The sequence below is a fragment of the Homo sapiens genome, chromosome 1 (genome assembly GCF_000001405.40).
Source record: "Homo sapiens chromosome 1, GRCh38.p14 Primary Assembly".
Taxonomy (NCBI): Eukaryota; Metazoa; Chordata; class Mammalia; order Primates; family Hominidae; genus Homo; species Homo sapiens.
Genome location: NC_000001.11, coordinates 89389643 through 89406866, shown reverse-complemented (window position 1 = coordinate 89406866; position 17224 = coordinate 89389643). Strand labels below are relative to the sequence as shown.

General features: G+C 38.5%; 1 pseudogene; it reads right to left on the bottom strand.

The window, feature by feature from the left end:
• Positions 12207 to 12846, bottom strand: CAPNS1P1 (calpain small subunit 1 pseudogene 1; annotated as a pseudogene).

Here is a 17224-nt window from a genome sequence, read left to right as displayed (position 1 = left end):
GAAAAACAATCAACCATCTGTACATGTGTGTATAGAGAGCAAATATACTGCATGCACAGCACTGTACTAGGTGCTGAGAAGTGTATGAAGATGAATTAAACACAGCCACTGCCCTTAACTGGACTTACTCTAGAGGGTAAGAATGACTTGCACTCAAAGCTTAAAAGCAAAGGCCTGGAGAGGAGTGGAAGAGTGGAGCACTGAACACTGAAATATGTAGCCCAAGATTGCACATTGGAAGACTTCAAACTTTTACCCATGAAGAATTTCCTTTCATGTCACTTATGTGAAGTGGGTTGAGTTTTAGTTTTATAAAAAATGACCTGACAGTAAAAACAGACACATAGACCAATGGAACAGAATAGAGAATTCAGAAATAAATTCACATATTTTAAGTTGCCTCATTTTTGACACAGAGACCAGTAATATACATTGGGGAATGTATGTTTACAATTGGTGCTGGGAAACGTGGATATTAATATGCCATATATCAATTCAGAATGGATTAAGTATTTAAATGTAAGACCCCAAACAATAAAACTACTGGAGGAAAACATAGGGAAAACACTTGCAGACATCTGTCCAGGCAACAATTTGATGGGTAAAACTTCAATAGCACACTCAACAAAAGCAAAAATAGACAAATGAGACTGTTAAATTAAAAGGCTTTTGTGCAGCAAAGGAAAAAAACCAACAGAATGGAGAGTCATCCTGCGTAATGGGATAATGTATTTGCAAGCTATTCAACTTACAAAGGACTAATGTTCAGAATATACAAGAGTCTCAACTCAAAAACAAACAAACAAATACTCTTATTAAAAAATGGGCAAAATATCTGAATAGACATTTCTCAAAAGAAGAGATACAACTGGCTAACAAGTATATAAAAAAATGCTTAACATGTCTTAGATCTGGCACGATGGCTGAATAGGAATAGCTCCGGTCTGCAGCTACCAGTGAGACCAATGCAGAAGGCAAGTGATTTCTGTGTTTCCAACTGAGGTACCCTGTTCATCTCATTGGGACTGGTTAGGCAGTGGGTGTAGTCTTCTGCATTTCCGACTGAGGTACCCTGTTCATCTCATTGAGACTGGTTAGGCAGTGGTGCAGCTCACAGAGAGCGAGCAGAAGCAGGGTGGGGCATTGACTCACCTGCGAAGTGCAAGGAGCCAGGGACCTCCCTCCCCCAGCCAAGGGGAGCCCTGAGGGACTGTGCTACCCACCCAGATACTACGCTTTTCCGTGTGGTTTTTGCAATCTGCAGACCAGGATATTCCCTCGTGCCTATACCACCAGGACCCTGGGGTTTCAAGCACAAAACTGGGCAGCTGTTTGAGAAGACACCGAGCTGGCTGCAGGAATTTTTTTTTTTCCCCTAGTGGTGGAATCCCAGCAAGACAGAATCATTCATTCTCATGGAAAGGGGGCTGAAGCCAGGGAGCCAAGTTGTCTTGCTCAGCGGGTCCCACTCCTACGGAGCCCAGCAAGCTAAGAAACACTGGCTTGAAATTCTCACTGCCAGCACAGCAGTCTGAAGTTGACCTGGGACAATTGAACCTGGTTGGGGGAGGGTCGTCCACCATTACTGAGGTTTGAGTAGGCGGTTTTCTCCTGACAGTGCTAAGGAGGCTGGGAAGTTTGGACTGGGTGGAACTCAACAGAGCACTGCAAAGCAGCTGTGGCCAGACTGCCTCTCTAGATTCCTCCTCACTGGGCAGAGCATCTCTGAAGGAAAGGCAGCAGCCCCAGTCAGGGGCTTATAGATAAAACTCCCATCCCCCTGGGACAGAGACCTGAGGGAAGGGGTGGCTGTGGGCACAGCTTCAGCAGATTTAAATGTTACTGCCTACCAGCTCTGAAGAGAGCAGTTGATCCTGATGAGGAGGATTCTCCCAGCACAATGCTTGAGCTCTGCTAAAGGACAGACTGCCTCCTCAAGTAGGTCCCTGACTGGGAGAGACCTCCCAACAGGGGTTGACAGAGATCTCATACTGGAGAGTTCCAGCTGGCATCAAGCCAGTGCCCCCCCTGGGACACAGCTTTTGGAGGAAGGAGCAGGCAGCAATCCTTGCTGTTCTGCAGCCTCTGCTGGCGATACCAGCAAACAGGGTCTGAAGTGGACCTCCAGCAAACTGCAACAGACCTGCAGAAGAGAGGCCTGACTTTGAGAAGAAAAACTAACAGAAAGCAAAAATACCAACATCAACAAAAGGGACCCCCACACAAAAACCCTGTTCAAAGGTCATCAGCCTCAAAAATCAAAGGTAGACAAATCCACAAAGATGACGAAAAACCAGCACAAAAAAGCTGAAAATTCCAAAAAACAGAATGCCTCTTCTCCAAATGATCCCAACTCCTCTCCAGCAAGGGCACAAAACTGGACAGAGAATGAGTTTGACAAATTGACAGAAGTAGGCTTCAGAAGGTGGGTAGTAACAAACTCCTCTGAGCTAAAGGAGCATGTTCTAACCCAATGCAAGGAAGCTAAGAAACTTGATAAAAGATTACAGGAACTGCTAGCTAGAATATCCAGTTTAGAGAAGAGCATAAATGACCTGATGGAGCTGAAAAAAAAAAACCATGATAACTTCATGAAGCATTCGGAAGTATCAATAGCCGAATCAATAGCAGAAGAAAGGATGTCAGAGATTGGAGATCAACTTACTGAAATAAGGCGTGAAGACAAGATTAGAGAAAAGAGAATAAAAAGGAACGAACAAAGCCTCCAGGAACTATGGGACTAAGTGAAAAGACCAAACCTACAATTGATTTGTGTACCCAGAAGTGACGGGGAGAACGGAACCAAGTTGGAAAACACACTGCAGGATATTATCCAGGAGAACAGCAAGACAGGCCAACATTCAAATTCAGGAAATATAGAGAAGACCACTATAATACTCCTTGAGAAGAGCAACCCCAAGACACATAATCGTCAGATTCTCCAAGGTTGAAACAAAGGAACACACGTTAAGGGCAGTCAGAGAGAAAGCTCAGGTTACCTACAAAGGGAAGCCCATCAGAGTAACAGCAGATCTGTCTGTAGAAACCCTACAAGCCAGAAGAGAGTGGGGGCCAATATTCAATATTCTTAAAGAAAAGAATCTTCAATCCAGAATTTCATATCCAGCGAAACTAAGCTTCGTAAGTGAAGGAGAAATAAAATCCTTTCCAGACAAGCAAATGCTGAGAGATTTTGTCACCATGGGGCCTGCCTTACAAGAGCTCCTGAAGGATGCACTAAATATGAAAAGGAAAAACTGGTACCAGCCACTGCAAAAACATACCAAAATATAAAGACCATTGGCACCATGAAGAAACTACATCAACTAATGTGCAAAATAACCAGGTAATATCATAATGACAGGATCAAATTCACATATAATAATATTAACCTTAAATGTAAATGGGCTAAATGCCCCAATTAAAGACACAGACTGGCAAACTGGATAAAGAGTCAAGACCCATCCGTGTGCTATATTCAGGAGACCCATCACACTTGCAAAGACACACATAGGCTCAAGATAAAGGGATGGAGAAATATTTGCCAAGCAAATGGAAAGTGAAAAAAAAAAAAAGGAGGGGTTGCAATCCTAATATCTGATAAAACAGACTTAAAACCAACAAAGATCAAAAAAGACAAAGAAGGGCATTACATAATGGTAAAGGGATCAATAAAATGAGAAGGGCTAACCATCCTAAATATATATGCTCTCAAAACAGGAGCACCTAGATTCATAAAACAAGTTCTTAGAGACATACAAAGAGACTTAGACTCCCACACAATATAGTTGGAGACTTTAACAGCCCACTGTCAATAGTAGACAGATCAAGGAGACAGAAAATTAACAAGGATACTGAGGACTTGAACTCAGCTTTGGACAAAGCAGACCTAATAGACATCTACATAATTCTCCACCCCAAGTCAACAGAATATACATTCTTCTCAGCATCACATAGCACTTATTCTAAAATCGACCACATAATTGGAAGTAAAACACTCCTCAGCAAGTGCAAAAGAACAGAAATCTTAACAAACAGTCACTCAGACCACAGTGCAAACAAATTAGAACTCAGGATTAAGAAACTCACTCAAAACCACACAACTACGTGGAAACTGAACAACCTGCTCCTGAATGAATACTGGTTAAATAACAAAATGAAGGCAGAAATAAAGATGTTCTTTGAAACCAATGAGAACAAAGACACAATGTACCAAAATCTCTGGGTCACATTTAAAGCAGTATTTAGAGGGAAATTTATAGCACTAAATGCCCACAAGAGAAAGCAGAAAAGATCTACAACTGAAACCCTAACATCAAAATTAAAATAACTAGGCCCAGCGTGGTGGCTTATATCTGTAATCCCCTCACTTTGTGAGGCCGAGGCGGGTGGATCATGAGGTCAGGAGATTGAGACTATTCTGGCTAACATGGTGAATCCCCATCTCTAATAAAAATACAAAAATTAGCCAGGCATGGGGGCATGCGCCTGTAGTCCCAGCTACTCGGGATGCTGAGGGAGGAGAATTGCTTGAACCTGGGAGGCGGAGGTTGCAGAGAGCTGAGATCGTGCCACTGCACTCCAGGCTAGGTGACAGAGGAAGACTCCATCTCAAAAAAAAAAAAAAAGTAGAACTAGAGAAGCAAGAGCAAACAAATTCAAAAGCTAACAGAAGACAAGAAATAACTAAGATCAGAGCAGAACTGAAAGAGATAGAGACACGAAAAACCCTTCAAATAATCAGTGAATACGGGAGCTGGTTTTTTGAAAAGATCAACAAAATAGACCACTAGCCAGACTAATAAAGAAGAAAAGAGAGAAGAATCAAATAGACGCAACAAAAAATCATAAAGGGGATATCACCACTGATCCCACAAAAATACAAATTACCATCAGAGAATACTATAAACACCTCTACACAAATAAACTAGAAAATTTAGAAGAAATGGATGAATTCCTGGACACATACACCCTGCCAAGACTAAACCAGGAAGAAGTTGAATCCCTGAATAGACCAATAACAAGTTCTAAAATTGAGGCAGTAATTAATAGCCTACCAATGAAAAAAAGCCCAGGACCAGACAGATTCCAGCCAAATTCTACCAGACGTAGAAATAGGAGCTGGTACCATTCCTTCTGAAACTATTCCAAACAACAGAAAAAGAGAGAATCCTCCCTAACTCATTTTATGAGGCCAACATCATCCTAATACCAAAACCTGGCAGAGACACAACAAAAAAAGAAAATTTCAGGCCAATATCCCTAATGAACGTCTATGCGAAAATGCTCAATAAAATACTGGCAAACGGAATCCAGCAGCACATCAAAAATGATCAAGTCAGCTTCATACCTGGGATGCAAGGCTGGTTCAACATATGCAAATCAATAAACATTATCACATAAACAGAACCAATGACAAAAACCACATGACTATCCCAATAGATGCAGAAAAGGCCTTCAACAAAATTCAACACCCCTAATGCTGAAAACTCTCAATAAACTAGGTATTGATGGAACGTATCTCAAATTAATAAGAGCTATTTATGACAAACCCACAGCCAATATCATACTGAATGGGCAAAAACTGGAAGCATTGCCTTTAAAAACCAGCACAAGACAAGGATGCCCTCTTGCAGCACTCCTATTCAACATAGTATTGGATGTTCTGGCCAGGGCAATCAGGCAAGAGAAAGAAGTAAAGGGTATTCAAATAGGACAAGAGGAAGTCAAATTGTCTCTGATTGCAGATGACATGATTGTGTATTTAGAAAACCCCACCGTTTCAGCCCAAAATTTCCTTAAGCTGATAAGCAACTTCAGCAAAGTCTCAGGAAATAAAATCAATGTGCGAAAATCACAACCATTCCTATACACCAATAATAGACAAAAAGAGAGCCAAATCATGAGTGAACTCCAATTCACAATTGCTACAAAGAGAATAAAATACCTAGGAATCCAACTTACAAGGGATGTGAAGGACCTCTTCAAGGAGAACTACAAACCACTGCTCAAGGGAATAAGAGGTGACACAATAAATGGAAAAACATTTCACGCTCATGGATAAGAAGAAGTAATATTGTGAAAATGGCCATACTGCCCAAGGTAATTTATAGATTCAATGCCATCCCAACCAAACTACCATTGACTTTCTTCACGGAATTGGAAAAAACTACTTTAAAGTTCATATGGAACCAAAAAAGAACCCGCATAGCCAAGAAAATCCTAAGCCAAAAGAGCAAAGCTGGAGGCATCACGCTACCTGACTTCAAACCATACTACAAGGCTACAGTAACCAAAATAGCATGGTACTGGTGCCAAAACAGATATATAGACCAATGGAACAGGACAGAAGCCTCAGAAATAACACCACACATCTACAACCATCTGATCTTTGACAAAGTTGACAAAAACAAGCAATGGGGAAGGATTCCCTATTAAATAAATGGTGTTGACTGGCTAGTCATATGTAGTAAACTGAAACTGGACCCCTTCCTTACACCTTGTACAAAAATTAACTCAAGATGGATTAAAGACTTAATGTAAGACCTAAAACCATAAAAATCCTTGAAGAAAACCTAGGCAATACTATTCAGAACATAGGCATGGGCAAAGACATCATGTCTAAACACCAAAACAATGGCAACAAAAGCCAAAATTGACAAATGGGATCTAATTAAACTAAAGAGCTTCTGCACAGCAAAAGAAACCATCATCAGACTGAACAGGAAACCTACAAAATGGGAGAAAATTTTTGAAATCTATCCATTTGACAGAGGGCTAATATCCAGAACCTACAAAAAACTTAAACAAATTTACAAGAAAAAAACAAACAACCCCATCAAAAAGTTGGTGAAGGATATGAACAGACACTTCTCAAAAGAAGACATTTTTGCAGCCAACAAACATATGAAAAAAAGCTAATCATCACTAGTCATTAGAGAAATGCAAATCAAAACCACAGTGGGATACTATCTCATGCCAGTTAGAATGGCAATCATTAAAAAGTCAGGAAACAACAGATGCTGGAGATGATGTGGAGAAATAGGAAAGCTTGTACACTGTTGGTGGGAGTGTAAATTAGTTTAACCATTGTGGAATACAGTGTGGTGATTCCTCAAGGATCTAGAACTAGAAATACCATTTGACCCTGCAATCCCATTACTGGGTATATACCCAAAGGATTATAAATCATTCTACTATAAAGACACACGCACACATATGTTTATTTTGGCACTTTTCACAACAGCAAAGACTTGGAACCAGCCCAAATGCCCATCAATGATAGACTGGATAAAGAAAATGTGGCACATATACACCATGGAATACTACGCAGCCATGAGAAAGGATGAGTTCATGTCCTTTGCAGGGACATGGATGATGCTGGAGACCATCATTCTCAGCAAACTAACACAAGAACAGAAAACCAAACACCACATGTTCTCATTCATAAGTGGGAGCTGAACAATGAGAATCATGGACACAGGGAGGAGAATATCACACACTGGGGCTTGTTAGGGGTGGGAGACTAGGGGAGGGATAGCATTAGGAGAAATACCTAAAGTAGTTGATGGGTTGATGGGTGCAGCAAACCACCATGGCACATGCATACTTATGTAACAAAACTGCACGTTCTGCATATGTACCCTACAACTTAAACTCTATTTAAAAAAAGCAACTACAGGCCAATATCTCTGATAAATATTGATGCAAAAATTTTCAACACTACATTACCATATCAAATTCAACAATACATTGAAAATAATTTATGACTAAGTCGGACTTATCCCAGGGATTCAAGGTTGTTTCCACATATGCAAATCAAACAATGTGATACATTATAGCAACATAATGGAGAACAAAAACCATTTGATCATTTCAATTGATGCTGAAAAAGTATGTGATAAAATTCAACATCCTTTCACAATAAAAACCCTAATAAAACTGGGTATAGAAGGAACATACTTCAACACACTAAAAGCCATATGTGACAGACTCACAGCCAATATCATACTGAATGGGGGAACACTGAAAGCCCATTCTCTAATACCTGGAAGATAACAAGGATACCCACTTTACCACTGTTATTCAACATAGTACTAGAAGTTCTAGGTCGAGCAACTGGACAAGAGAATGTCATAAAGGGTATCCAAATTGGAAAGGAAGAAGTCAAATTATCTTTGTTTGCACATAACATGATCTTATATTTGGAAAAACCTAAAAACTCCACCAAAAACTATTAGAGCTGATAAATTCAGTAAAGTTTCAGGATACAAAAGTAATATACACAACTCATAGCATTTCTATATGCCAACAGTAAACAATCTGACACAGAAATAAAAAAGCAATCACATTTACAGTAGCTGCTAATAAAATTTTATATCTAGGAATTAACCAAAAGAATGGAAAGATCTCTACAACGAGGTCTGAGGCATGGTGGCTCAGCCTGTAATCCCAGCACTTTGGGAGACCGAGGTGGGCAGATCACCTGAGGTCAGGAGTTCAAGACCAGCCTGCCCAACATGGTGAAACTAACATGGTGAAACTCCATCTCTACTAAAAATACAAAAATTAACTGGCTGTGGTGGCAGGTACCTGTAATCCCAGCTACTTGGGGGGCTGAGGAAGGAGAATTGCTTGAACCTGGGAGGTGGAGGCTGCAATGAGCTAAGATTGTGCCATTGCACTCCAGCCTGGGTGACAAGAGCAAAATTCTGTCTCAAAACAAAAACAAAAACAAAACAAAACAAAAACAAAATCTCTACAATGAAAACTACAAAACACTGAGGAAAGAAATCGAAGAGTATACAAAAAATGGAAAGTTATTCCATTTGCATGGATTTGAAGAATGAACATTTTAAAAATGTCCATACTACCCAAAGAAATCTACAGATTCAGTGAATTCCCTATCAAAATATCAATGACATTCTTCACAGAAATAGAGAAAACTATTTAAGTTCCACATAAATCCTACAATTTATATGGAACCACTGAAGACTCAGAATAGCCTAAGCTGTCCTGAGCAAAAAGAACAAAATTGGAGGAATCATATTACCTGACTTCAAATTATACTACAGAGCTATGTAACCCAAACAGCATGTTACTGGCATAAAAACATACATGTAGATAATGAAACAGAATATGGAACCCAGAAACAAATCCATAAACCTACAGAGCACTCATTTCTGACAAAGGTTCCGAGAACATACATGAAGGAAAGAAAAATCTCTTCAACAAATAGTGCTGGGAAAATGCATATTCATATGCAGAAGAATGAAAATAGACCCCTACCTATCACCATATACAAAAAATCAAATCAAAATGGATTAAAGTTTTAAATCTAAGACCTCAAACTATGAAACTACCACAGGAAAACATTAGGAAAACTCTTTACCTTGGAATGGAAAAAGATTTCCTGAGTGACCAAAGCAAAAATGGACAAGTCAAATCACATTAAGTTAAAAAGGAAAAAAATTAAAAAACTGAAGAGACAACCCACAGAATAAGAGAAAATACTTGCAAACTATCCATCTGACAAGGGATTAATAACCAGAATATATAAGGAGCTCAAATCACAAGGTTCCTTAAAAAACTAAAAATAGAGCTACCATATGATCCAGCAATTCTACTGCTGAGCATATACCACCCCAAAAGGAAATAAGCATATCAAAGGGATATCTGCACTTCCACATTTGTTACAGCATTCTTCACAATAGCCAAGATTTGGAAACAACCTAAGTGTTAATCAACAGATGAATGGATAAGGAAAATGTGGTACATATACACAATGGAGTACTATTCAGTCATCAAAAAGAATGAGATTCTGTCATTTGCAACAACTTGGGTTGAATTCATGGTCATTATGTTAAGTGAAATAAGCCAGGGACAGAAAGACCAACTTCACATGTTCCCACTTACATGTAGGAGCCAATAGTTAAAACAGTTGAATTTGTGGAAATAGAGAGTAGAAACATGGTTACCAGAGGCTAGGAAGGGTAGTGGGGTGGTGTGAGGGGAAGTGGGGATGACTAATGGGTAGAAAAAGTAGTTAGAAAAGATGAATAAGACCTGTTTTTTATAGCACAAGATGGAGACTATAGTCAATAATAATTTAATTGTACATTTTAAAATAACTAAAAGAATGTAATTGGATTGTTTGCAAGACAAAGGACAAATGCTTGAGGGGATGGATACCACATTTACCGTGATGTGATTATTATGCATTGCATGCATGTATTAAAGTATCCCATGTTCCCCATAAATATATACACCTACTTAGTACCCACAAAAGTTAAAAATAAAAATTAAAAATATACATTTCTCAGGGATAGTGGCCTGTAGTTTTCTATTTTTGACGTATGTTTCTCTTTCTATTTTTGATGTCTTTCATCTGGTATCATGATGTGTCATAATATCAGCCTTGTAGAATGAATTTGAAGTATTCCCATTTCTTCTATTTTGTTTGGAATAATTTGAGTAGGATTGGTATCAGTTTTTCTTTTAATGTTTGGTAAAATTAAGCAGTGAAGCTATTGAATGCCAGGCTTTATTTGCTGGGATACTTTTTATTATGGCTTCAATCTCATTACTTGTTATTGGCTTATTTGGATTTCAGATTTCTTCATCTTGGTAGGTTGTATTTGTCTAGGAATTTATCCATTTGTTCTAGGCTTTCCAAGTTACTGGTATATAGCTCCTCAGAGTAGTCTCTAATGATCTTTTGAATTTCTGTGGTGTCTATTATCATGTCTCTTTTTTCATGTCTAATTTCATTTATTTGCATCTTCTCTCTGTTTTTCTTAGGCTAATGGTTTGTCAATTTTATCTTTCAAGAAATCAAGTTTGTTTTGTTAATTTTTTGTATTCTTATTCATTTTCACTTCATTTATTTCTGCTCTGATCTTTCTTATTTCTTTATGTCTACTAATTTTGGATTTGGTTTGCTTTTGCTTTTCTAGTTTTTTAAGATGCATTATTAGGTTGTTTACTTGACATTTTTCTACTTTTTTGATATACATATGGTTTTCAATGATCACCTTGTTATTAATTTCTAGTTATAATTTCAATGTTTTAGACTGTTTTGTGGCCTAACATATGGTCTATTCTTGAGAATGATACATGTGCTAAAGAGAAGAATGTGCATTGTACAGCTATTGGATGAAAAGTTTTTAAGTATCTGTTTGGTCTATACTGCATTTGTTGTCTAGTGCAGATTAAATCTGATTTTTGTTGTTGTTAATTTTCTGTCTAGAAGATCTGTCCAATGCTGAAAGTGGGCTGTTGAAATCTCCAGCTATTATCTCTTTAGAGGTGAAGACAGAGATAGACCCCAATACATTAATAGCTGTCAATGTTGGTGCATATATATTTACAGTTGTGCTATTCTTTTGCTGAATTGACTCCATTATTATTATATAATTACTATCTCTTTCTCTTCTTCCAGTATTTATGTTGAAATATGGAACATTTTTTCTATCCATTTATTTTAATTTGATGTGTATTTTTATAGGTGAAGTGTGTTTCTTGTAGGCAACAGATCATTGGGGCTTGGTTTTTAAAAATCCATTCAACCACTCTGTCTTCCTTCCTTCCTTCCTTTCTTCCTTCCTTCCTTCCTTCCTTGCTTGCTTCCTTCCTTCCTTCCTGCCTTCCTTCCGTCCTTCCTCTCTCTCTCTCCCCTTCTTTTTCTCATATGTTTTTTCTTCTTCCTGGGCCTGGCAGGCTAGGAGCAGAATATAGACGAAACCACTGGAACATGTGGGACTGGAATAGCCTGATGTTTGACTGCTTGGGTGGTAACTGTGAATGGGTGGACCAGGGTGTGTAGGGAGCAGAGTCATCCTCCCAGAACTGAGAGAGGGCCCTTGGGGGATGCAAGCAATGCAAGTGTTGAGGTTGGCACAGATACAAGAGTGAGGTTATGGCATGAGAGTGAGATGGGTATGGTGGGGTGGGGTGACTGTTGGAAGAGCGTGTTAGCATGTTTTAGAGTTGGGGCCAACTCAGGGCATGGCATGTTGAGGCACATTTGACCCTGGATCTTGACTGAGAAGCTGGGTGCCAAGGGCTGGAAGAACAAAAGGCCCATGGGTCAGCAGGACCCATGAAGATGTGACTGCAAATGGGATCAGCACTGGGAGAGGCTGAGGCTCCAAGGTGACTCCTATAGCAAGGCAGTGAAGGGGCAGGCCTGGGTTTCCCATTTAGAAATACATTGTCAGCTGCAGCCACTCTTGGATATTCACTTAGAATGGTCTAGTGTCATCTTTGTAAAGAGATTTCCAGGCATGAAACGAAGCATCTGGCCTGACCAAGCAGCTGATAAAGTTGCCAAAATCCATGTTCTCTCCTTCATGCAAGTAGTGTCAGAATATTATGTTGTAGAGTTGTTCATTCAGATGGAACCCTGCTGCCTCAAAGGCCTCTGCAAGTTCACTGCTGCAAATGGTTCCGGATCGGTCAACATCAAACTGCTTGTATATTGTGTCACTTTTTGATGTTGTTCCACAGGTAGTTGAATTCCTCAAAATCCAGCTTGCCTATGGTGTCACTATCCATCATGGCCACCATGCTTTGACATGTATCAATGCCAAAACCATGAGTCTTCAGTTCAGTCCTACTGATCACAACCTTGTTGACAACATTCATGAGTTCTGTGCCGCTGACCTCGATGTCATCTCCAGCCAACCGGGCAAAGAGCCTCCAGAAATGATGGACCTCCTCACTCTTGTTGGCCTCAGTGTTGGAGCAATGTGTGTGTTGAGGCAGGGGCTCCAGGTTGTGCTGTGTAGCCACCTCCATGATGGAGCTAATGATTCCACCTAGGAAGCACACGGCCACTCTGCCACCTCTTCTGCCTCTGCTGAAGAACTGACTGCCAGACCTCTGGATGTGAGGAGACATATTCCTAGTTAACTCATTCTTGAAGGGTGGAGGGGGCAGTGTCAGGAAAAGGAGAGATGAAGACCTGGATAGGGGCCTGGGGAATGTGCTTGGAGGCCTGATCAGTGGGGGATCACTCTATGGCTTTTGATTGGAGAGTTTCGTCCATTCACATTCAATGTAATCATTGATAAGTAAGGACTTAATCTTGTTATTTTATGTGTTTTCTAGTCGTTTTGTGGTCTTCTTTTCTTTCCTGTCTTCCTTTTAGCAAAGGTAATTTCCTCTGGTGGTATGTTTTAATTTCTTGCTTTTTATTCTTTGTGTATCTATTGTATGTTTTTTGATTTGAGGTTACAATGAGGTTTGCAAATAATATTTTATAACCTATTATTTTAAACTGATGACAACTCTGATTGCATAAACAAATAACAAACAAGCAAAGAGAAAACTAATAAAAATTCTATACTTTAATTTCATCTCCCTGCTTTTCAAATTTTTGTTGTTTCTATTTATTATTATACTGTCTATGTCTTGAAAAGTTGTTATAGTTATTACTTTAGATAGGTTCATCTTTTAGTCTTTCTACTTGAGATACGAGGAGTTTACACACCACATTTATGGTGCTATAATATTCTTTTTTTCCCTGTGTACTTACTACCACCAGTGAGTTTTGTACCTTCAGATGATTTTTTTATTGCTCATTAATGTCCATTTCTTTTAGATTGAAGGAGTCCCTTTAGCATTTCTTGTAAGACAGGTCTGTTATTGATGAAATCCTTCAGCTTTTGTTTGTCTGATATTATAAAATTGACTCATTGAAAAAATTATACATGGGATAATTTTATAGTATTATTTGCAATGAATCATTTCTCTTTATTATACATTTTCTAAATATAACTCGAAAGTAGTCCATAAATAGATCTTTGGCTTCCTATACTTTTTAAAAATGGATTTACCCAGTTTGAATTTTCAATAATAATCTCAGAAAGCACCCGTATGAATTCCTGATGTTAAAATAAATTGATTTTGTTGGACTAAGTCCTATTTTTGTTCGTTTTTTAGTTTAAATTGATTAGGAATAATATAAAGGGATCTGGGGATATGATTTGTCCCTAAAATATAAGTTATTTCCAATCTTCCAGATAGAATCTATTAAGAATTTGATCAAAAAACCCCCAAATGATACCAAATTATAAATTCTTGATGGCAGTGAAACTATAGGCCAAATCTAGAATTCTGGTATGGTTTGAAGATGTCTAATTCTATTTTCCTGATCTTCAGGTCCCTTCTTGTCAGGCCCTAATCTCATTTCCAGTCTCATCTTTCATTTCAACACACCTATTCAGTGCTTCAGTCAAATGGAATAATTCTACAGTACCTTTAGTAAGACCTACACTTTCTAATATATCTGACTTGGCTTATGCTGGTCTTTCCACTTGAATGGTCCCTTTATCTCTACAAGTACACCTTGTATAAATTTTTAAAAGACCAGCTATTTTAAGCCTAGGGCTATTTTTTATGGTCATAGTCTCTTGTTCTGAACTCACAGAGTACTTGTTCCCATTTGTTGGAATTACCACATTTTCTTTTACATTGTAGCTTTTGATATCATTTCTGGCAAACATTATCACCCTGGTTGCATTTATATTTTTACTTGCTTATTTCCTTCACCAGAAAGTCATCTTTATGAGGGCAGAGACTGGTATATTGAGTTATACATAAAATAAAATGCAGTGCCTGGCATTTAGTGGATGAACAATAAAACACTTGGTGGGTTTAATTTATAGCATTTTTATCCTGAATACAGCCCATAACTGATAAAAATTTGCTAAAAAAATACTTATCCACATCTGAAGTTTGAACTTAAGACTGTCTTCAAAAATGTATGTCTTTTTATCCTATTATCCAGTGTATATAGCCTAGCTGAAATAGCCAGAGAACAAATGAATGAATGAAGAGTAGATGCCTAAATCTCTTGCTGCCATATACTTTCTAGATTGATTGCAAGAATGACTTGTGGATTTTTGCCCTGATAGTGCTTTCGAGTGGCCACTTTGTCACAACACCATGGGCACCATCAATCACCAGGCTCAGGAGAAGCTGTGGCATCCTTCTAGGACCTGAACCACCATGATTTATTGATTTTACAGGAGTGGCAACTAAGGCTGTTCCTCTTTCTTATAACTCAAAATCAAGATTGGAGATAAGAGGATACAAGGCCAAAGAGAATGTTCATAAAACTTGTTTCTAAGTGATATTTGGAAATTGTGAGATAGGGTGCTTATCTTTCCTTAGATAAGGTCTATCTATGTGGTTGAACTAACAAAGCTAACCAGGGCACGATCCTCACTTAGAGTGAAGTAGAGAACTCCACTAAGTTTGGAATTTCTTTTTAGCTTAGTTTGAATTGTATGGGATTTTGTGCTGTAACTGAAGACAGTTGAATGCCCCACTACCAGAGATTAGTATCTGAAGCATATCTTTAAACTGATTCGAGGTGACAGAGCATGACCTTGGTGGTAGAAAATTCAGCAGGAGGTGGGAATCAACCTAAAAATTTGATGTCAATTTTTATTTAAGACTTGATCAAAGCCTGTTTCAGTGGTGATTTCTGGTTGTTGAAAGGTGATTGATAATTTATTTTCATGGGTTACTATTCCTTGAGAAACTCCAGCAGCTTGAGTTTGAGCACATTAAGGAAATTTAGGCCCAATGTTGGATCAAGTGATTGTAGGCCCATTAGTACCATAAAATTTGTACCATATCCAGATTACAATCACTGTGATAACTTCTTAAGGCTCATGTACATACATTCGTTATTAAATACTTTTTCTTTTTTATATCAAGAAAAATAACTACAGTCATCCCTCAGTATACATAGAGAATTGGTTCTAGGACCACTGTGGATAATCCATACAAAATCCTTGCATGCTCAAGTCCAGCAGTGGCCCTGCAGAATTCATATATACCAAAAGATGGCCCTCCATATATGTGGGTTTCACATTCCTCAAATAGTGTATTTTCATACTGTGTTTAGTTGAAAAAAGTCCATGTTAAGTGAACTCATAGTTCAAACCCGCACTGTTCAAGGGTCAGCTGTAATCAGATTGGAAGTTGCTAAGCACAGAATAACAAGAAATAAAATAAACTACTTTTAAAAACATGTACTTGCAGCATATTTTACTAGAGCCTAGACAGTTACGTCTTTCAGAGAAAGAATATTGATACTTTAAAAAGTCAAGAAAAAAATAGACATATTCTTCCAGTAAGACAATAAAAATCTTTATTTTGTCTTTCTCATGTTATCACCTTCTTCATTCTTTAACACTATCTAATAAAAGGTTAATTCTGTAAGAAAGGTCTGGCCCTCAACTTGTTCCTGGGACATAACAGGTAAGCCCTTAGAACAACTAGCCTTATAATAATGCTTTGGACATGTTGAGGGCTTGGTCGACACCAGGTACTTTATGCTAAAAATGTGATTTGTGGTGGAAGTCTTAAGTTATACCATACCAGTTTGAGCTCTGAAGGGACAGGAGTCTGAGTAAATAATATCAGCCACATGAGCACCCCATTCCTACATGACTTCCCTCTAATAAAAACACTAAAGTTTGTGTGACCATCCCTGGTTGACACATGTCACACATTATTTGTGAGAGAATTAGATAATGTCTGTGCAACTCTCAAGGGAGAAAACACAAATGCAAGCCTATCCTGGGTCTCAGACTCTGGTCCATGTCCCTTTTGCTTTTGTTGGTTTCAATTTGTACTGTTCGATATAATAAGCTCTAACTGTGAGCATAAAATTTTTCTGAGTTCAAGCCATCCCCATCAAGCTACCAATGCCTTTCTTTACAGAATTGGAAAAAACTACTTTAAAGTTCATATGGAACCAAAAAAGAGCCCGCATCACCAGGTCAATCCTAAGCCAAAAGAACAAAGCTGGAGGCATCACACTACCTGACTTCAAACTATACTACAAGGCTACAGTAACCAAAATAGCATGGTACTGGTACCAAAACAGAGATATAGATCAGTGGAACAGAACAGAGCCCTCTGAAGTAACGCCGCATATCTACAACTATCTGATCTTTGACAAACCTGACAAAAACAAGCAATGGGGAAAGGATTCCCTATTTAATAAATGGTGCTGGGAAAACTGGCTAGCCATATGTAGAATGCTGAAACTGGATCCCTTCCTTACACCTTATACAAAAATCAATTCAAGATGGCTTAAAGACTTAAATGTTAGACCTAAAACCATAAAAACCCTAGAAGAAAACCTAGGCAATACCATTCAGGACATAGGCATGGGCAAGGACTTCATGTCTAAAACACCAAA